Source organism: Homo sapiens, chromosome 11, assembly GCF_000001405.40.
Source record: "Homo sapiens chromosome 11, GRCh38.p14 Primary Assembly".
Lineage (NCBI taxonomy): Eukaryota > Metazoa > Chordata > Mammalia > Primates > Hominidae > Homo > Homo sapiens.
The window spans coordinates 83,152,331-83,174,446 of record NC_000011.10 but is presented as its reverse complement, the minus strand read 5'-3'; the positions used below and the strand labels follow the sequence as shown (position 1 = coordinate 83,174,446).

At 39.6% G+C, this 22,116-nt stretch overlaps 1 protein-coding gene across 5 annotated transcripts in view, besides 6 other annotated features; it reads right to left on the bottom strand.

Annotated features, from left to right (window-relative positions):
• Window positions 1-17,316, bottom strand: part of PCF11 (PCF11 cleavage and polyadenylation factor subunit) — a 30,321-nt gene extending 13,005 nt beyond the window's left edge. For 3 of the 5 annotated variants that reach the window (NM_001346414.2, NM_001346413.3, XM_047427120.1), the window contains exons 1-9: window positions 16,816-17,316; window positions 12,995-13,120; window positions 10,580-10,768; window positions 10,046-10,240; window positions 7,733-8,847; window positions 7,139-7,322; window positions 6,549-7,032; window positions 4,452-6,019; window positions 2,533-2,629 (exon numbers count right to left, since the gene is read on the bottom strand). In NM_001346414.2, the coding sequence (NP_001333343.1) occupies window positions 2,533-2,629; window positions 4,452-6,019; window positions 6,549-7,032; window positions 7,139-7,322; window positions 7,733-8,847; window positions 10,046-10,240; window positions 10,580-10,768; window positions 12,995-13,120; window positions 16,816-17,007 (4,150 nt within the window). In that variant the 5' untranslated portion in view covers window positions 17,008-17,316. The remainder of the gene's footprint in view (window positions 1-2,532; window positions 2,630-4,451; window positions 6,020-6,548; window positions 7,033-7,138; window positions 7,323-7,732; window positions 8,848-10,045; window positions 10,241-10,579; window positions 10,769-12,994; window positions 13,121-16,815) is intronic. The other 2 variants (NM_015885.4, NM_001346415.2) reach the window with 1 other exon arrangement.
• Window positions 6,812-8,011: an enhancer, noted in NCBI's record as "MED14-independent group 3 enhancer chr11:82877478-82878677 (GRCh37/hg19 assembly coordinates)". NCBI's record gives its function as "activates an origin of replication core promoter dependent on BRD2, BRD4, P300/CBP and CDK7 cofactors, and independent of MED14, by STARR-seq in HCT116 cells {active_cell/tissue: HCT116}" and the evidence as "EXISTENCE:reporter gene assay evidence [ECO:0000049][PMID:35650434]".
• Window positions 16,151-16,210: a silencer, noted in NCBI's record as "silent region_3820". NCBI's record gives its function as "represses an Ori minimal core promoter by ATAC-STARR-seq in GM12878 lymphoblastoid cells {active_cell/tissue: GM12878}" and the evidence as "EXISTENCE:reporter gene assay evidence [ECO:0000049][PMID:35858748]".
• Window positions 16,557-17,346: an enhancer, noted in NCBI's record as "NANOG-H3K27ac-H3K4me1 hESC enhancer chr11:82868143-82868932 (GRCh37/hg19 assembly coordinates)". NCBI's record gives its function as "activates a minimal SCP1, AML or CMV promoter by ChIP-STARR-seq in naive H9 embryonic stem cells {active_cell/tissue: H9 hESC(naive)}" and the evidence as "EXISTENCE:reporter gene assay evidence [ECO:0000049][PMID:30033119]".
• Window positions 17,011-17,260: an enhancer, noted in NCBI's record as "active region_5348". NCBI's record gives its function as "activates an Ori minimal core promoter by ATAC-STARR-seq in GM12878 lymphoblastoid cells {active_cell/tissue: GM12878}" and the evidence as "EXISTENCE:reporter gene assay evidence [ECO:0000049][PMID:35858748]".
• Window positions 17,411-17,460: an enhancer, noted in NCBI's record as "active region_5347". NCBI's record gives its function as "activates an Ori minimal core promoter by ATAC-STARR-seq in GM12878 lymphoblastoid cells {active_cell/tissue: GM12878}" and the evidence as "EXISTENCE:reporter gene assay evidence [ECO:0000049][PMID:35858748]".
• Window positions 17,661-17,740: a silencer, noted in NCBI's record as "silent region_3819". NCBI's record gives its function as "represses an Ori minimal core promoter by ATAC-STARR-seq in GM12878 lymphoblastoid cells {active_cell/tissue: GM12878}" and the evidence as "EXISTENCE:reporter gene assay evidence [ECO:0000049][PMID:35858748]".

The following is a 22,116-nucleotide window of genomic DNA, read 5'->3' as shown; positions in this document are numbered from 1 at the left end:
AGGTGTTTGAGACCAGCCTGGGCTACATAGTGAGCACCCTCTTTAAAAAAAAAAAAAAAACTTTAAAAATAAAAATAAAGGTCTTTGAAGGATGAACCTTATTAAATTCATCCTAGCATACTGCCTAGCATACAGCAGATGACTAATATATGTCTGAAAAATGAACATGGGTATATTTCCTACTAGAAAAGGGATGTTTACACTTTCAAATTAGAGAAGGAACCTTGAGAGAAGCTAAATATAGCACACTGAAAACTGTTGACACATCTTTTAAGAGTAAGAAGAACTTGAAGAATGAAGACACACCTAATGTCCCATTCAATACCCCCTAACAAGGGGAATAATTATGATTTCCTCTGTGACACTGCTATGTCCTGTACACATACACATATAACCCAAGGTTGTAAAAGCAAAACAAGGCTGGGCACAGTGGCTCATACCTGTAGTCCCAGCACTTTGGGAGGTCAAGGCAGGTGGATCACCTGAGGTCAGGATTCAAGCCACCCTGACCAATATGGTGAAACTCTGCCTCTATTAAAAATACAAAAATTAGCCAGGTGTAGTGGCATGTGCCTGTAGTCCCAGCTACTGGGGAGGCTGAGCCCGGGAGAACTGCTTGAATTCAGGAGGCAGAGGTTGCAGTGAGCTGAGATCATGCCACTGCACTCCAGCCTGGGTGACAAGAGCAAGACTCGTCTCAAAAAAAAAAAAAAAAAAAAAAAAAAAAGAAAGAAAGAAAGAAACAAGAAAATTTGTAGTTTCTGTAGAGCATCTCATGCCACTAACCCCAATATAACAAATCCTCTGCTCAACAATAAAAACTGAGTTCTAAAGGAAAATACATTAATATAGCACTTGACAAGTTACAAGTTACAAAGTACTTTTGCATATACTATATCATTTGATTCTCTAAAAAAAAAAAAACAACAACAAAACAGACAAATACTGATACTACCATATCATGTTTTTTTTTTGGTTTTTGGTTTTTTTTCTGAGACGGAGTCTCACTCTGTCACCAGGCCTAAGTGCAGTGGCCTGATCTTGGCTCACTGCAACCTCCACCTCCTGGGTTCAAGCGATTCTCCTGCCTCAGTCTCCTGAGTAGCTGGGACTACAGGCATGCACCACCACACCCAGCTAATTTTTGTATTTTTAGTAGAGACGAGGTTTCACCATGTTGGCCAGGATGGTCTCCATCTCTTGACCTTGTGATCCACCTGCCTCGTCCTCCCAGAGTGCTGGGATTATAGGCGTGAGCCACCATGCCCGGCCCATATGCTGTTTACAGAGGGAAAAAACTGAACCTCAGGGGAGATACTTGCTTAAAGCCTGCGCATTTATAAAGTAACATAGTAGAGATTCCAACCCTGGTCTTCTGGGCTTTAGATCCCAAATTCTTTCCTTCTCTTTTCATTATAGTAACAAAATAATAATAATAACAAATATTAATTAGTCATAATTGTCCATGTAGAAATTAAAACTTAAAAGCTTCCAAATTCATTGAATTTCTTGACACAATTTAAGGACTAATGTATAAAAAAGAGCTTGGCTAGGATTTCCTAATTACTTCAGAAGTTTTGGAAAACTCCATAAATTTATTGTAAACTGATTAACTCAATACTACAGTAAAGCATGTTTCTGAAACAGCTGTTTCAATGATTCAGAAATGAAAGCAAGTATCACTAATGTATGTACTTCCCTATTACCACATATTAAAACTAAAATTCATTTTGCCGGGCATGGTGGCTCACACCTGCCATCTCAGCACTTTGGGAGGCTGAGGTGGGCAGATCACTTGAGGTCAGGAGCTCGAGACCAGCCTGGCCAAGATGGTGAAACCCCGTAAAAATACAAAAGTTAGCCCAGTCTGGTGGCACACGCCTGTAGTCCCAGCTACTTGGGAGGCTGAGACAGGAGAATCGCTTGAACCCCGGAGGCAGAGGCTGCAGTGAGGCAATATGACACTACTGCACTCCAGACTGGGTAAGAGAGCAAGATTCTGCCTCATAAATAAATAAATAAATAAAACTAAAATCCATTTTAAAAGTCCTTTTATCTAGTACTAAGCATCACCCCATAGTAACAAAGATGCTTATCAGTGAACCTGGCTAGGAAAGCCGCTTTTTGCTATTTGAGTGCCCACAAAAACATAAAAATTAATCAACTTTATTAATGCAGTATCCTCAGTATTCACTGAGATTTCTAAGGTCTGTCATTTATTTCATTCTATCTCAACACAAATGTCATACCTTCCCTCCCACTCCCAGTTTCCACCCAATAGGTTTCCTTCCCTTTGTTTAGTGGACTACAAGTCCCCGCTAACCATCTCTAGCTGTAAATAGGGTCATTATGAATACACATCCACAATGTAAATAAACTTAGAAAAGGAACAAAAATATGTCAGCCAGATTAAATTTCTCTAAATTAAATATACCTTTGCAAAACTGTCATTTCCTAAAATTCACAAAGTTAGCTATTCAACAAAACAATAATCATTTGTCTTTTGAAAAACAAAGTTCAGAAAGTACATACCTGAAGGATTCTGAACAAATCCAGGATTTTGTGGATGAACTGGTAAAAACTGTTGTCCTTGACCAAAAGCTACTGGCTGAGCAACACCACTCAGAACCTTTAAGAAAAACCTTAATTTTAAGAACATGCTTTCTATATTTCAAGTAAAACTTTTAACATCCTAATTACATAAAAATATTCATAGATGTCACAAGGCCTGGCTTATAAATAAAGATTTAGAAAGATAACTTGGCTGCATCACTTCACTTCTAGGTCTTCTACAAACAGGAACAATAAAACCTTCCCTTATCTGTTTCATAGAGGTATAAGTTACTGAGAATGGGTTAAAACTTCTTTGAAAAGTTTAAGGTACCTACTAGAGAGGCAAAGTAGCCCCCCAAAAAGGAAACTGTAAGATACCATGCAAATATAAGGTAACTAGCTGTGTTACTTTACACAAGTCACTTTACCTTGCTGGTGCTTTCCCTTATTTTACAAATAGAAGAACTGACATAATGCAATATGATCTATACACAATCACAAGGGCTAGTTAGGAGCAAAACTGAGGCCAGAACTCCTAACCCTTGCCACTTTTCCACAGATATCAAAAGCCTGTTCTAATTAGCATTCTGAATTACCAAGCAGGTAAGCATCTTGCTTGGCCATCATCTTTGCACATGGTTATAGCCACATTACAAAGTAATCTTGTAAAAGGTCTTGTAAAAGATGTCAAAGGGAATGTTAAAAAACAGAATAGTCATGGAGCAAGAACTATACTGGCATACAAATACAGCATTTGCAGTCCAGAGGGAGGCAGGACTTCTACATATTGCTGGTATGTGAATAAATATCCATTTATAATCCTTGTTCAGTATACATGTGGACTTTTGGTAGTGAGTACACATAATAAAAACCCCACCGATTCTGTGTAATGTAGAAACAAGACTAAGTAAGTACCATTCTAGAGTATCTGTCAATAAGAGTATCATTTCTTTCAAGGATATACAGTAGAGTAAATCTAGGCAAGCCAACTGTTTTTTCGTACCATTAGAGATGAACAGAAGGACTACTTTCTATCAATAATGTTCCTAATGTACTTTTAAAATCTTTCTTATTTTGTATTTTCTTCCATGCAATCTTACTACTATAAAATAAATCTGTCATAGTAAGAAAATGTCTGCACCTGGAAAAGAAGTAAAACTCAGCCTAGGAGAATTTCAGCACGCAAGCAAAAGTAGTCATTCAAAACCAACCGAATTAATCACAAATTGTAAACATACTGCCTTAAAGTTGTCTCAGTATGCATTTTAAAATGTATACAGAACAAGTGTGAAAGAATACCAACAGGTAACAGTGCATGTTTCGTAACCAGAGTGTATTTGGAAGGCTATTCGCTATGTTGTCATTAATATCAAACAATTGTGTTTAACTGAAGTGACTGGAAAGGTGGTAAAAAGTAGGAAAAAAGGACCAAAAAAAAAGAATTGTAGACTGTGAAAGCAGGGACACAATTTGATCTTCTTATTTAACTCAGGTTAAGGAAATTCTTGGTCAAAGAACAGTTCAATCAATTCTATGGCTACCTTAAAGCACGTCAGGGCTCAACAGTTCTGCAATGTAGAGGTCTATGACACACAATTGTATAATATCTCAAAAGCTTTAAAGCAAAAAAAAAGGAAAAAGAAAAAACAGAGCTGGAGGTGGGGGTTTGATTGAGATATTTCCCTAGATCCTGAAAGAGCTAAAATCAATTTTGGATTTAAGTTGCAAATTTCATCCCCAAAAGATGCTCATCCCACTTCCTTAGCATGTGGCTTTAGAGTACATTAAAAACTTCTTTCCAATCTACACAATAAACTATGTCCTGAAAACCCTCCTAGAAACATTAAAAAATGGTTAACTTATCTGCATACAACGCAATTTTAGAATAACAGACTTACCTGTTGAGATGCCTGAATATTTCCTACTGTCATTGGAGCAGGTATATTGCCAAAGTTTCCAAATTGAGAACTCTGAAGATTTTTTTCATCAAAATAGTGTCCAGAAGCTCTGTTAAGTGGATTAGAGAAACTCTGGTTTCCAGGGCCATGTGGTCCATTAAAATTTGGTCCTTGAGGTGAATCAAATATTTGTTCATGTCTTTGGAACTGTAGTCCTTGGGATGGGGCATTAAAAGCATTGCCAGGTGGATCATTATATGGACCAGTCTGATTGAAAGATACTGATTCAAGCCTTTGTGAAGGATGATTGTCAAATCTTGTGCCTTGAAGACCAAGAGGAATATCAAACCTTGATGCTTGCTGATGTTGTGGACCATCAAATCTTTGAGGTACACCGTCAAATCTGGGTTGAACCTGCTGTCCAGGTGGTCCATCAAACCTCTGAGGGCCTGGCTGACCAGGAGTCCTTTCAAATCTAGGACCTGGCTGACCATGTAATCCATCAAATCTTGGCAAGAGTGACGGCTGACCTGGCTGCCCATCAAACCTTAAAGCATGACAACCTTCAAATCTTGGACCACCTTGACCCAGAGGCCCTTCAATTCTCAGGCCACCTCCTGGTACAGAAGGACCCTCAAACCTCATTCCACCTCCTTGTTGGACTAAAGGGCCTTCAAACCTGATACCAACCCCTGGCTGACCATGTGGACCCTCAAACCTAAGGTTCCCACCAAGTTGATTATGTTGTCCCTCAAATCTCAGACCAGCTACTGACTGACCATGGGGGCCCTCAAACCTCATTCCAACCCCTTGCTGTAGCAAAGGGCCCTCAAATCTGATTCCACCTCCTGGCTGACCATGAGGTCCATCAAACCTAATCGCAGCCCCTGATGGACCATGACCCCCCTCAAATCTAAGTCCACCTACAGGCTGACCTCGGGGATTATCAAATCTAAGTCCACCCACAGGCTGACCATGAGGTCCCTCAAACCTTAGACCACCCACAGGTTGACCACGATGTCCCTCAAACCTCAGACCACCCACAGGCTGGCCTCCTGGTCCCTCAAATCTCAAACCACCTGGAGATCCCTCAAACCTCAGACCAGGGGAACCTTCAAACCGAAAACCACCTCCTCCTGCTTGACCAATTGGGCCCTCAAACCGCAGAGGTGTCCCCACTGGTCCTGGAGGACCTTCAAATCTCAAAGGACACCCACCTCCTAGCTGACCTTGTGGCCCCTCAAATCTCAAAGGGCCTCCTCCCCCCATTTGTCCTGGTGACCCATCAAACCGAAGAGAAGCTGGTGTGGGAGGTCCATCAATTCGAGGGCTTAATTTATTGGGTCCTTCAAAAATCATCTTCGTTGGGCCATCTCTTGCTACTGATGGCCTACTAGGTCCATCAAATAACGGTCTGTCTTCAGCTAAAGCTGTAAGTCGCTGATTTGTATCCAGGCCGGCGAATCTTGATGCTGGACTATCTACAAATGGTTTATCTGAATCTTCATATCGAGGTCGCTTAAGTGGAAAACGATCATTGAATGGAGATCTCTGCTCTTCTCGCACACCTTTTAAAAAGGAAAAAAATTATTTTCACTAAAGTTATCTTAAAATCTTCTATTTTCGTATGAATGTTTATCCAAATATATAACTATCTCACTACATTAGAGGGGCAGGAGAGACCGACAGCGTAAAGCAGCAGATAAGAGGATGCCCTCTAGAGTCAGACACACCTGAGTAACAAAAAAATTACCATCCTATCAACATACTAATTATTTCATTTTGAGAGCAAGTTATTTAACCTCTCTTTTATTTCCTATCTGTAAAATAGGGAGAATATACACTTCATTGTATTGTTGTGAGGATTAAATCAAATTACATATAAAAAATACCTAATGAAGTACCTGACACACAACTGGCCTTAGAAATATTAGCTCCCTTCCCTTCCCTTTCCTTAAAGGGAAAAAACATAACAAAATAAATGGGAAAAAAAATGGTAATCTGAACAGTCACAAAAATCCATCCCCACTTAGCTTGTTCATTTTCCCTTCACTGCTGTGTGATTCAATAGGCATAATCTGATTTAACTTTTTCTACCTTTAGCAGAGACTTGCTCGTCATGTCTTCTCCGGCCCTCATGGGGTGAAAGATTCTCAGCATAAGTACGACTCCCAGATATAGGAGAAAGACGTCTTGCTCTTTCACTAAATTGTTCTTTTCTGTCAAACTGTGCTCCACTATTCCTACTTGCATGTTTACTTTTGGATGGCTCACATTCTATTCCAGACAACAAGGCATCAGTCAAAGGGTAGTCAAAAATATCAGGATCTAAGAGATCAAGTCTTGGAAATGAATGCTGAACCTGTGTCCTTTTCAGTTTTGCTTTATGTTCATAGTAGGTTAATTCAGCATCAGATAAGAGAGGTTTCTTTTTTAATCCACCTTTATTTTCTTCTGTAGGACTATCCCGTACATTGCATCTATGTTTACCTTCTTGATACTGAAATAGCTGTCGAATTTGATGCACAACAACAAGGAAGTCATCCTGTGTAATTTCACCAGATGCTAAACGTTCACTCGTCTGTATAGGGGTGATAAAAGGAAATAAAATATTTTAAATATAAAAAAATACCAAAAAAATAGACGATAGATAATGATGACTACATGGGATTAATCATAGTAACTACCTTTTGAAGTAATTCTCTTTTGCTTGCAAGAGTTAACTCTTTAGGAATCTGAAGATTGGCATCTACACTTAATCGATGCTGTTGCTGCTTTGGGGCTCGAGGTGATAAAATTCCTTTAGTGCTTGACCAGCTCTCCCTATGCCTCAGATGAGGAGGTTTACTATGTTCATCAACCTGTTGTAAGCTGAAACCATAAAAGCAGTATGTTACATTGAAATGTTTTTTTAAAAAATACTCAGGACCATATTTAAAGATTCTTTTCAAAGGATATGGTTAAAATGGGCATATGTAACCACAAAAAGTAATTAAATAAATGATTAAGAGCACAAAATATGAAATCAGCAAAAACAGATATGAATTCTGATTCTTGCATGTCCTGGACTGCAGCCTTAGGTAGATTAGTTAACCTTTCTAAACTTCAGTTTCCTTATCTGTAAAATAGAAATAATAATAGTATTTAACCCACAGAGATGTAAGAATTAGATGGAAAAAAAGTACTAATAGCACCTAATAAACATTTTCCAATTTTTAAATTAACACTATCTTTTGAAACATATACACTACTACACTTGACTTAAAATGTTAACATCATACCTTTTATTTTCTTCCCAACCAGATTTCCATCTTTTGGCAGACTTGGAACTTTGCCAGTTTTCTACATTCTCCTTTGGTTCAGTGCCTGACTTTGTAGAATGCTGATTTGTAGTTTCTTGTGGTCGCTCCTCTTCAGTCTTTTTCATTCGCCTTGGATCCCGAATATCCTGTTTAGTACTTCTCTTAGCATTTCTGTCTTCCCTAGAAGGTGGTGTAAACTCTTCCATATGTGACTGCTTAGCTCCAGATTGGCGAATCTTTCCAGCTTTAGGTGTCGATGTTGGAGACATACTTCTTTGCCTTCGTTTGGGTGACCGCCTATCTCTTCTCTTTGGGGAATGTATAATTGGTGACCTAGACTTGGGTGATCGAGATCTTGATCGCTTTCTAGTACTCGATCTCCCTGGTTTTGTCCCCTGTTTTTCTGACTCTTCTGTTATTGTATCCTGTTTTTGTACAATGCCATTTATGATTTTATTTCTACTTCCAGCCAGTCTGTGTTCGGATGACTTCATGTGCTCATCTTTATCCTTTTTTTCTGCAGTTTTTCTCTTCTCTTTCACATCATCATCTTTGCCATCGGTCTTATCCTGAAGATGTTTTTTTAATCTTGGATCTCTCTTGTTCATATCAGACAACCTCATACTTTCCGATTCTTGATTTTTCAAGTCTTTTGTGTGAGATAATTTGTTTTTCAAAGGTGAGGGTGATTTCGATTTCGATTTCGATTTAGAATCTAATTGGTCAAGTTCTTTCTTGGTTATTTTTTCACCTGATTTACTTTTTTCTTGCTTGGATGAATTTAGTTTTTCAGAGGGTATAGTTTTACTTGTCTTAGTATCAGACTGGTTTAATGTGTTCATTAGAAATTCTTTCCTGTGACTCTGATCTTTTCCATGAGAATGTTGGCTTATCCTGTTCAGACGAGGATCCCGGTTAGTTCCTTTTAAATCCTGAATTTGTAAGGATGGTCCTGGACGGCTTTTCTCAGATTGCACAGGAACCTGATGAGGAGCTTTAACTGCCATAGGGGGAATCTGTGAAACATGTAATTTGGATGGTGCAGATCCAGGACCTAAATTGGATGTTTCCTGCTGAACACTAAGAGAAACTGCCTAAAACACAAAATAAATGTTCATGTTAACACTGCAGAACATGCAGATTGTCAAGAAATTGCAAACAACTGAAGAAGATAATGCTTTATTCAATAAATATATTTACTCAACACTACATTTAAATTGTACACTTATAATGTATAAATTGAGATTACAATGAAAAGAAAAAGTCCATGATTTAAGTTGCCCATTATTTCTTACTAGTATTTTTTGAGACTTTATAATATAATCTCTAAATAGAATGAAAAAAAATTGTTTCTCTTCCTTATTGTTCAGGATTCTGAGCCATACTGCTCCTAAGAAATTGCTAAATCACTACACTCCGGCTGCACAAGAATCAGAGTCATTTCAGCTAAATTCTAAGTCCTAAAATTTAGTTTCTCCCAAAGTGGTGCTATTAATGAACTTATAAAATTCTGCCTTCCTGCACCTCACTGTCGAATAAGCTCAGATGCTAAGCAAAATAACTTAGTATAAAGTCATTTATGTGTAGAAAGATATAATCTTCCTGGCCTCCTTAATTTTGTCATTTCTGTTCATGGAGCATAAGCTCATAAAACATTAAAGACTATGCAAAAATATTTGCCACAACATGCCTACCATCTTGGGACTGAAATATTAAGTCCACATAATGTAATGATTAAACAAAATTAAGATGCTATTTTATAAGATAGCAATCTAACAGAAAACTGTTTGGAGGAAATAGTGTAGTTTTGTAGTTTTTGGAGGGTTTTCTTGAGACAGGGTCTTGATCTGTCACTCAAGCTAGAGTGCAGTGAAGCAATCATAGCACACTGCAGCCGCAAGTGATCCTTCCAACTCAGCCTCTCGAGTAGCTGGGATCACAAGGATGCACTACCCCACCTGGCTAATTTTTTTTTTTTTGGTAGGGCCTCACTATGTTGCCCAGGCTGGCCTCAAACTCCTAAACTCAAGCGATCCTCCCACCTCAGACTTCCCAAGTGTTGGGATTACAGGCATGATCCACTGCGCCTGGCCTATGCAGTTTTTAATCAAGTGAATTTTACAATAAAGATATAAAAGTATAGTCTAATAAATATACTCATTTGTAAAATAAAAGTGAAAAAAGAGTACACTATTAATAAAAGTAACATGTTAATAAAATTCAAACATAAACATTACTTCCCTATTGTTAGACAGGTTTAAAATATTTAAAATGACAATCTCCCTTACTTACCAACTGTGCCTTAGCTTGCTCTAGCTCAAGCTCCAGCTTTTTCTGCTGAAGTTCTAACAACTGTTTTTGCTTTGCCAGTAACTGCTGCCTTATTAGTTGTTCTTGTGTAAGATTCTTTTGTATATCAGGAACAATTGGAGGAGTGGAGATGCTAGGGGAACTGACCACTGTACCAGGTGTTGAAGGCTCCTCGGGCTATAAGAAAAGACAATTTGTTTAAGAAAAACGTATCAGCTAAAACGGAAGCTAGGGAGTAAAAATTATCAGCTTAACTCTTAATATGATCCAAATTCCTATCACACAGAAAACTTATCAGAAATTTAAAACCCAAAATAAATGTTACATAATACCTAAACAAGGTGAATATATTTCTAAATAAAAATTCCAAACATATACACACTATTTTTTTTTTTTTCAAATTGAACCAATTCACTACCGAGTATTCTATTTTGACTTTCTGGCAGTAAGTTCTGCAGAAGAATTCAAAATGTGATACTTAAAAGTATGTTACTTACTATTCATATTAAAACTTACCGATTTATTTAAAAATTTAGGATTCACATGGATGCTAGACGTATTCACATTGGGGGGTAGAGGTTTAATAGGCCAAGCAGGATCTAATGAATTGACTCTGACATCCAGGGCATAAAGTTTCTTCAAAGGGAATATTTCATCCCATGTAGAACGTAACTTAAATAAACTTTTCCTAGTATTTTCATCCACCTAGAACAACAGAACAATTCTATGGCTTGTTAAGTTACTATAGAATATTTTATATATTAAATATAAGTTATATAAATCTGCTCTACTTCACATACAGAACTGTACTACCCATTGGTAAGTATATACAACAGTAATAATTTATTAAAGGTGCATTTCTCCTTCAAAAACAGAGTAATTAAAACCATTTTCACCTAGCCTTCATGCAAGCAACCAACCAGGTGAGCCTTTCTATATACAAAACGTTTCCACATCTTAGAGCTTAGTATAATATTCCTAAAGTTACTCTTTCTCTGGGAAAAAAAAATGTAAGACAACTAGAAAATATAAAACTAAAAAATATAAAACAACTAGAAAAATTGATTACCTGATGGCTTAAATGTTTTAAATTATTTACATAGTAGTACAAAGTTAAAATTAAAGCAAAACTATCTCACTAACTAATGCTCAGCAATACTATATGGTTGGGTACATAGGAACAAGATATTGTGGTGTGGAAAGCACTTTAACAACTGAAATTCACAAAATCTTAACCACTGATAAGCCTTAGTTTTAAATAACTTTTCTGTTCAGGTTTGTGATGGCGTAAAAATGTTTAGAAAATTTGCCATTGCCAGGCACGGTGGCTCACGCCTGTAATTCCAACACTTTGAGAGGCCGAGGCAGGTGGATCACCTGAGGGAGTTCAAGACCAGCCTGACCAACAATGGTGAAACCCCGTCTTTACTAAAAATACAAAATTAGCCAGGCATGATGGCTCATGCCTGTAATCCCAGCTACTCGGGAGGCTGAGGCAGGAGAATCACTTGAATCCGGGAGGCGGAGGTTGCAGTGAGCCGAGATTGTGCCATTGCACTCCAGCTTGGGCAACAAGAGCAAAACTCCATCTCAAAACAAAAAAAAGAAAAAGAAAGAAAATTCGCCATCAAGAAACCTAGGACTTGGGAAAACTGAGTTAGATTTTCAACATTAGGATAGACAGTAAAGCCTTAACTATATTCATAAGTCTTCAGATAATAATGTATTTATTACAAGGTCATTTTAATCAACTGTCATGTTAATGCCCAGTTAGATTCAGTAAAGGTATGCTACCAAACACCCAAGTGAATTTGAACATACTGAAACCGAAACCAAGAGGTTGGTTAAGCTTCTCCTTAAGACTACAGCCTCTGGTTAGCAGTATTCAGCAAATGTCTACAATATTCTATTAACAAGCATTTTAATGCTATATGATATAGAGCTTTCCAGATTTCTTCTGCATATACTGTTTTTCTCTAAGAACTTAAAAACATTTCTCAAATAGCAACTACTTATTTTCTAATAAACATGTAAAATCTAATACTGAATAGTTCTTCCAAAAAAAATTCCAATTCTACAAATCTGACAACTGACACACAGGTGTTCATCTACTAAAATATAATAACTACCACCAAATATTGACGTTAGGAAACAATCTTTAAACCTAAGTATCTCATAAGTGCCTTTTTGTTCAATGTGAAAGATATAGCCTGACAGGCAGAGAATTACCTCAGCAAATCCCTTGTCCTCCTCAACATAATACTGCTTTAACCAAACCACCATGTTACAGTGTTATGGAAGAAATTTACAATCTCTAGATATGAAAAATAAGCCTAATTTCTGAACACTAAGGTAGGGGCAAAAGTATTTCCAGAATAACCAACAGCAATTAACTGGTCCACCATTCACACATACCAACAACATTCACCTAAAACATACCTTGAACAATGTAACAAAAGTAAACATTTCCAGAAAACAAAACAAAAAAACACACAAGTTTCAGGAACCAATCACAGGTTGAGACACTGAGGGATTATGCTTTTTACCCCCCCAAGAGAACAGTCAACATCCTAACACCAGAAATGTAAACAATGAAATTTTAATTACTCTTGACGATTTCAGATCTTTTTGCCTGGTTTGTAAGTGATGAAACAGATGTTCAAATGAACACACTCAATTTTTTTAAAAAGCACAATTCTAAAAGCAAATCCATCTATTCTTAAATGGATAATGTAAACCCCTAGAATCTGTTCTAAAAATCTAACATAAAACATTAACTTCAGCCTCTTTCTTTGAAATGGTACTAACGATAAATGTCCAAAAGTATAAAACATTTCACCACCCAAGAAAACCCAACACAAAGCAAATATTTATTTAATCAGGAACACATTTTTTAAAAAAAAACGCAAATGTTTCTAAATGCATATGTACCTTTTCAAACACACAAATAAATGTTGCAACTAGATTTTTAGTAAAGGCAGTGAGATACTCTCTTCCAACGTTTTTCACAATAGAATCCATAAGGTACATAACAGGAAGCTTCTCTGAGGAAGGAGCCTGAATAAAAAGAAACTGAGAAGTTTAGTATAATGAATTACCACCAAATAATTATTTAAAAATGAGTTTTTAAACCTACAATACAGACCTCTATTTTTGTTGATACTAAATATTTTTGAAGTAATCTTTATGAAACTTAAGTGTTCAATCAAGCTCTCAACTCTCACAATCCTTAGTTGAGCACAAAAAAGCTCAGAATTACCAGGATGAACAACAGCTGTAATCCCTAATATACTCATTTAACACTCAATGAAATTTCAAGTTCATGTGGTAAAAAGACCTGTGTTTTAAGTGACAAAAATAAGGAGGAGGCGAGGGAAAATTACTTTATATAATCCAAGTGTCAGTTTTGTGACCCATATTAACTTACAACGGTGTGCCTACACTCAAAGCAGTTTTTAGACCTCTTGTAGAAACTAATTTCCATGGGCATATTTTATATGTTCAAGTCTATGAAGCTTTTGTTACCTGTAAAATCATTAGGATTACTTCTCTATAATCCAAATGAACAAAAATTAAAAACACTTCACCTAGGAAGTCAATGGCAAAACACTGAAACTTGCACACGAACATGCAGGAAGTTGCAAGTTTGTTACTCAGACAAGAAAAACTGGATGGAGCAGCCGCTGAATCATGTAAATCAGGTTGAACTTGACTCTGGAAACCAGGATTTGTCCTGAAGATTTTCTTCACAGCCTGGACTCTCCGCCGAGATATTTTCCTCTGACATGCACAAACCAGGGGTTATAAATTTGTGCAGAGCCAGTGTGGTGATGCTGATACAGGTGGCCCTTTCCAAAGTAAAGAAATGTTGCCCCAGTTCAACTGCAATGCCTACCCACCACTGGCTTTTAGAAGGCACAGCAAGCTTCCAGAAAGCATCAGCAGGTTCACAGACTTGTTGAGGAGCATTAAGACACACCATAATAGTTTTAACTCTGACTCCAAAGGAGCACCCATGATTTAAAATAAAAAAAAAAGACAAAAAAAAAAAAAAAAAAAAAACTTAGGTTATCCCCATTTACCCACCCCACGTGTATAGGAATCTTAACCCTAAGTAACACTTACCCATAGCTGCCTGAAGCTAGGGTAGGCTCACAGTTCTGGAGTACACAATGCCATCATATATAATAAAACCAATTGCCCATACAAGTGTGTGGAAATGCTCTTGCTTCTGATAACACCTTTACAACCAAAAGTTGGCTAAGGGAAGCTTTGAATAACTTTGTATGAAAAATTTCTTTTAAGGTACTGTCTAATAAAAGGGTTCACCCACTGCATGTGGGTCAACTATATTAAGTACGAACATGTCAAATGGTTTACTGCTGTGTCTTTACCTTACCATGTCATGTTTTACACCATTTTAGTCATTATTGTACTTATGAAGATAAACAGGCTCTCTTAAACACCAAAGTCTGTTAAGTAGGCTAATTTTTTATTGTACAAGTGAAGTCCTTTTATGTATTATTTTTCGCTACTGCTCTCTCTTGGGAGGAGTCAAATTAAGTGTGAATCCTTTAAGTTTAGTAACGCAGAGAAGCTAAAGAATAAGGACACAAACATTCACCTCCAAAACACAAAACCAGGCCAGTTTGCTACCAAATAACGGAAATCCCTCCCCTCACCCTCGATCCCAACCCAGATTAAGATAGATCCCCCAAAGTGACTTTTACATCTTTTCCTCAACCTGGCTTTACAAAAATAACCAGGAAACGTGTGCCCCCAAAATTTCAGCTGTCTTTTACCAGCAAAGAGCTCATCTATTTTCATCACTGTGTAGCGATATACAAACACAAGTTTTATGTGGTCACTATATTCAGCATTTAGTTTTCGGTTCTCGAAGGTCTTCCGGATCCATTAAAAACCAGCAAGGTTCTTTGAGTGACAACCTGAGCTGCTAAATATTAGGCGCTGTGGAATATTAAATCCCAAGATACGAGGTAATTAGATTTTAAAAATCAATGTTTTTGCCTTAAAAACACAAGTGCTTTAAGGCATTTAATGTCAAGTTAAGCCTTCAACAAGGCAAAAACTAAGTTTTCATGTCCAAGATGTTTGTGGTATCAATAAAAAGCATGTTGAGTATGACGAATGCTTCCTTTTTAAATCTCACACTTAAAAAAAAAAGCTGTTTTACATACACTTTCACAGGAAAAAGTGAACGAAAACTTGTATCTTAGCTGTCAGACTGAGCATGATAAACTTGTTGAGGTCCTTAAAAGGAAAAAGAAAAAAAACCCTTCCTTTTCGTCCTCTTTAAATTATGAAAGGACCACCTGAAACCGTGTATCTTGTGAAGAGGTTTACCCAAAAGAGTGGATGGAACCTAAAGAAGAATGAACCCAAGTCACTTAAAGACTTTTGTTTAAAACACACAACCACGTAGATAAAAATAAGTCTTGGAAACAGATTCTACACCTTACAAAGGTAAATAAAAAAGACAAATACATATTTTATATGTTTTATTCACAAATTTTATAATACCAGTCACACATTTCAAAACCATTTATTAGAGTCAGACCACTCAAGTTTTACACTAGACAGAAACCGTCTCTAAACAATATATTGGTGGTTGTTGTTAAAGTGGCCTTTAAAAAGGGGTTCACTCTGCTAAAAGGAGGCTCATCCTGATAATTGCAATCACTAACAACTAGAAAAAACTAAACCGTGAGTACAAGCTTGAAAAATAAAATGTAGCACTGGGACGCTATTAAAACTCATTGTAACTAAGTTGAACAGTAACTTTACTTAAATGACATATCGCTCCCATATGAATCCACAGAAGAGGAGGACTACAGGGAAATATAAGGTGGCAGAGGACCACTTCTGTCAAGGGGTAAAGAAAAACACTCCTTCGCTATCAGGGAAGGGAGAAAAAGAGAAAAGGAAGAGGAGGAGGGACTGAACTTTTCAGAGAAACTGCAAGTACTTGTTACCCTCTGGGCCAGTTCTCCACCTACAGGTTGGATAAGATCTCCTCCCCCCACCCAAACCCCACCCTCAACCCCACTTGCCCCTATTTTGGGACAAATTAGACCCTCCAATAGGAGAATAAAAGTTTTATCTAGCCGCCCCCACCCCAAAATGGGGCTGACGGGAGTGAGCAGCTGCCTGGCTGGCAGGGAATGGATTCTCCTCTCTTCCCTTTCGCATCATGTGCTTTTCAGGCGCCATGTTGGGCTCCTAACAGGCGGCTGCTCCACTCGGGGCCAAATCCCTATTCCCACCCACCAACAGCTCGCTCCCAGGTCCCCCTTCACCTCCTTCCAACCCACAGAACACAATTACCAAAAAGGGTGCTTGGGGAAAATGGGAGACCCACTCTCCCACTTCCCAGGGAATTAAAATGGCTTATGTTAACTCTTACTTCCCCAAACCACAAACTGCCTTTAAGTCTCCCCCACCCCAAAGGGCTCTATTCAAAGCGTGTGTGTGTCGGGATATACAATGCGGTGGCCTAAAAAGGGAGTTGGAAAGCGGAAGTGGGACTCCACCCTTTATCCTCCCCACTCCCTCCCCCCCAGAGGCCCATGCTCGAAGCCTGGGCCAAAGACCGAGCCTGAGTTGGAGGGGGGTGGGGGGGTTGGAGAGAAGGAACACTGTCCCCCTTGGGATGGAAGCGAGACCTGGGATGAGGCTGACACTAAAATCAGGGAGTATTAGAAGTAATAGGAGGCTGCGGGGTGTATAAAAACCTTGGCGGTTTGGGCCTCGATGAGAGAGACGATCTCCTTGGCGAAGGGCAGGTTCTCCTCGGCTAGAATGGTCAGCATATTGATGTGCGGCTTGCTATTGAAGGTCAGGTCTTCGAGCGATGACTGATAATCCCGACAGGCGTCCTCCCGGGCCCCCGCAGCACCGGCCTCGGCCGGCGTCTGCTCTGACATTGCGCCGCGGCCCCCCTCCGAGGTCCGCTGCAGCTGAAGCTGAAGCCGCTCTGGATACCCCGCCTCCCTTCCGACTCCTCTTCCTCTCCCCGGCTCTCTCGCGGCTCCGGCTTCACCACATGCTGACCGCGGAGGGGGGATGGGGGACGACACAGGGGGAACCTCGGGTATGAAACGCCGCCGTCTCGCGGGTGATCTCCGTCCACTTCCAGCCGCCACAGAAGCTTCTTTCTCCACAGACACAAAATGGCGGCGGCAGTGGCGGCTCCAGCTCCGAAAATGTCTGTGTTCCCAACCGCTGCGTCGTGCGAAATGAACTAGGGGAGGGGAAATGTGCGGTAAAAGGGCGGGGCCACTGATAAAACCAGGCGTGATTGGCTGTCCCGGCAACGTCACGAGCCCCGCCCCCGGCCCTTCCGCAGGACGCCCTGGCACCGCCTTCTTCTCCGGCCTCTACCCGGACTTTCGCAACATCTACTGCTCGGAGGCGCACTGGAAAAGACGGCCCTTCTCATTGGCCGATTCATAAGGGACTGTTCGGTCATTTGTTACCATAACAACCCATTCAGGGAAGCCAATAGGCCTGGGAAGGCAGTTCCCGCGGCCCAACCCAACCACTTTGAGAAGAAGACTCAGCCGTCCCCTCTTCGTCCCTCCCTCTAGCTTCCCAGCCACTGAGCGGGCCTGTCAATCATCTTTCCTCCCGCCTGCCCCGTAGCTGCTACCGACGGTGGGGGTTGGAGGGAGCGGGGGTTGGAGGGAGCGGAGGCTTTCTGCCGCCGCACCCCCTCTCCCTTAGCGTCTCAGGTGCTCTGGAGAGCCAGGGCGGGTCCAGCTGCCCCTCTGGGAACTGGGAAGTGGGAGGGAGGTGCCCAATTTACCCGGAACTTCGGAAAGCACTGCTGGAGAGTTTCTTCCAGCACGCCGCTTCCCACACCCACAAAAATACCTAGGCGAGCTTGCCTGACTTGAATCCCCAGGAAAATGCCTTTTATTTAGAGATTAAGTGTGAAAGGCTTTTTCCTTGGGGGTTTGGAGGAGCTCTTTAAGGAGCCCACTATGAGCTCTAGGAAGAGTTTTTCACAACAGCCACACCCAGCTGGACCGTAATATCTCCACTGTGAATCTGCATTTCAGAACCTCCTTAGCATACACTATTTGGGGCACGTAGGAAAACACACACGCGCATGCACTTTTGTTTTAAACTTGTGGGGCTGTCTTCCCAGGTTGGAAATGATGCTCGTAAAACACACAAAGCTTTCAAATAGTTCACCGTGGAGCTGCGACATAACACAAACCAAACGTAATTTTTTCATTGAGTAGCGATATTGACCTAAATATAAGCTTTTAAAATGTGTCAATTACGGGCTGGGCGCGGTGGCTCACGCCTGTAATCCCAGCACTTTGGGAGGCCGAGGCGGGCGGATCACGAGATCAAGAGATCGAGACCACCCTGGCCAACATGGTGAAACCCCGTCTCTACTAAAAATACAAAAATTAGCTGGGCGTGGTGGCGTGCGCCTATAGTAGTCCCAGCTACTCGGGAGGCAGAGGCAGGAGAACCGCTTGAACCCGGGAGGTGGAGGTTGCAGTGAGCCGAGATCACGCCACTGTACTCCAGGCTGGTGACAGCGAGAGTCTGTCTCAAAAAAAAAAAAGTGTCAATTACCTAAAATTGCTTTTCCATTGCCTTCCGTAGGCTACTAGGCATTTGAGAGATAATTTGTTGCTCCCCAGAAGAAATTGCTCTTAAAAAATAAACTTAGCCGGGCATGGTGGCGGCCGCCTGTAATTCCAGCTACTTGGGAGGCTAAGGCAGGATCACTTGAACTCGGGAGGCAGAGGTTGCAGTGAGCCGAGATCGCAACACCGCACTCCAGCCTGGGCGACAGAGTGAAACTCTCTCTCAAAAAACAAACAAACAAACAAACTACTCTTTACTTGTCCCATATAAAGTAACATTTTCATTTCTTCTTTTTGTTTCTTTGAGTTTTTTAGCATCTTTATTGTTGTCTAATTGAAACATAATGAACTGCATAAAGTGTGCTGCAAAGGTTAAGTTTTGACATGTATTTTCCATTTTTTTCTTAGCATGATATCACACATGAATGAAAAGTAAAACCTGGGGAGGAAAACTGGTCTTCCCTCATTTGAAGCTAAGAAGTATTGTTAAATAAGTATTTATAATCTCAATAATTTCACACTATTGTTAGTGGTGCTATTTAGATATACTAGAAAGTTTCAACTAATAACGTCCAAAGGTTTTATTTTCTGGAGGGAAATGACCAGGGTGAAATAGTCCTCTGTTCATTTTCTTTTCATTTTAAAGGTGAATTTCATTATAGAAATGTCTGCCTTTTACAGTTTTTAACTTTCTTTTAACAGCAAAGTGAACTTCTAAAAAAAAAAAAAAAAAGGCTCCAAAGCTCTGATTTGGCTTTTATTGTATCCCTCACAGACTATATACAGAGTAAACAATTAATATATCTTAGCACATAAATCAACAAACTTATGTCCCCACAAATGACATGGAAAACTCAAGAGACTAGCAATCTTATTCAAATCATGTGCTGTACTGTAACAAGCACATTTTTTCTTTAAATACTCAGGACAGGGCACAAACTAGATAACTGGAATTTTAAATACAAATAAGTGCACAAAACTTCTCTCATGGATTTTCACTACCAGTTCTTTCATCAGAATATGCAACGAATTTACTTTCCACCAACATTAAGCCCCGGTTATTTCCTATCTCTATGCTAGGTGCAGTGGTGAACAAGATAGCCCCTTGGCCATACCTTCATGAAATGTATACCTCAATCATAACCTCATGTAGTAATGTGAAAAAGTACTACATTTGTCCAGGAACCAGTGGTATCCCAGGACTATTTTCAATAATCAAATCCACTAATTATTGTGTTTCTGCAGAATATGAAGCATTTCCATTGTTTTTGAGGAAAATAGCTATACCCTTCCCTTGGTTCACAGAGTATTTACAAGAGGAGTTAATTCCTCCTTTAAAAAAATCTCTCAGCCTGGGAGTGGTAATAATTATCAAAAAATAAATTAATTAAATTTTTAATTTAATTTAAATTTTAGAAACCTCTGTTGTATCTAATCAATAACTCTTCTCATGTAAATTTTTTATATCATTAGAAAGACAGAAATGTGGACACTAAACACAAAAGTAGAAAGGACATAGGCCAGGTGCCATGGCTCATGCCTGTAATCCCAGCACTTTGGGAGGCCCAGGAGGGCAGATTGCTTGAGCTCAGGAGTTCAAGACCAGCCTGGCCAACATGGCAAAACCCCGTCTTCTACCATAAATACAAAAAATTAGCTGGGTGTGGTGGTGTATGCCTGTAATCCCAGCTACTCCTTTAAAATTTATAGACTGGGCGCTGTGGCTCACGCTTGTAATCCCAGCACTGTGGGAGGCTGAGGTGGGAGGATCACTTGGGCCCCAGAGGTTGCACTGAGCTGAGATCATGCTACTGCCCTCCAGCCTGGGCGACAGAGCCAGACTGCGTCTCAAAAAAAAAAAAAAGGAAATGAAAATTGAAAGCCAATCCCTTTAAAATCAAATAGTTATCGAGCACTGTCAGCAGGTAGAATTTCCCCCTTTTATATGTAAACCCAGTGTATGTAGATAATATGCAGCAATAATATTTACCTGTTATATATGCATATACATTTATTTATTCTTGCTAGAAATATGTAGTTTACTTATATAAACTTTTTTTATTTTTGGAGACAGGGTCTCACTCTGTCACCCAGGCTGGAGAGTGCAGTGGTGCGACCTCAGGTCACCGCAACCTCTGCCTCCAGAGCTCAAGGGATCCTCCTACCTCAGCCTCCTGAGTAGCTGGGACCACAGGCCTGCACCACTACACCCGGCTAGTTTTTTGTATTTCTGATAGAAGATGGGGTTTCGGCATGTTTTCCAGGCTGGTCTTGAACTCCTGGGCTGAAGCAATCCTCCCACTTTGGCCTCCCAAAGTGTTGGGATTACAGGAGTGAGCCACTGCTCCCTGCAACATTATTATTTACATGTTTTATAACCACAAAAGTAATGCATGCTTATTTTAAAGAATTCAAATACAAGTACACAAAGAAAAAATGAAAATTCCATCTCTCTGCCCTTGGCCATAAGGTAACCACTGCTCACAGTTTAATATCTATCTTTCCATGCCTTTTTCAATGAACGTACACATAAACACAATATGTAAAGCTTTTTTTTTGTTTCTTTAATTTCACCACCTTTCTGACTGGGAAGTGTAAATCTATGTTTTATTTTTACAAAAATATAATACACATGTGCATATATATCTATTTAATATTAATTACTTGCATTTATTTATTTATTTATTTATATTTTATTTATTTATTTTTTTTGAGATGGAGTCTTGCTCTGTCACCCAGGCTGGAGTGCAGTGGCACAATTTCGACTCACTGCAACCTCCGCCTTCTGGGTTCAAGCAATTCTCCTGCCTCAGCCTCCTGAGTAGCAGGGATTACAGGTGCCCACCATCATTCCCAGCTAATTTTTGTATTTTTAATAGGGAATGGGTTTCACCATGTTGGCCATGTTGGTCTCAAAGAACTCCTGACCTCAGGTGATCCATCTGCCTCAGCCTCCCAAAACACTGGGATTACAGGAATGAGCCACAGTGCCCGTCCTAACTTGCATTTTAAACTCAAGGTGTCACATTCATCCTTTCATGTGCATGGACTTCCTTTAAAGAACAGTCGAGATGCTGTATAATTCAAAGCATTTGTTTTTAAAGTCTGTGGCTTAGAAAGATAGCTACGGCAAGAATCAAGCCATTCTAATGTTGGCTCTAAACCAGGCTCTAAAATTGGCATGTAGTAGATATTCAATGAATATTTGTTGACTGATCCAGGCCCTGATTTCAATTTCACCTTGCTTGTCCATTGTTATCCTCCAACAGTATGAATAGACAAATGCAGCATTAGTTGAGAACTTAGGGTGGAGGTTGAACTTGGTATTATGGAGTTTAGAGATAGTGATTATCAGGAAAGGACCCTGGCTCACAATTCAAATGCGTGATAACCAAATTCCAAAAACCAGTTCATCATTTTAAGACT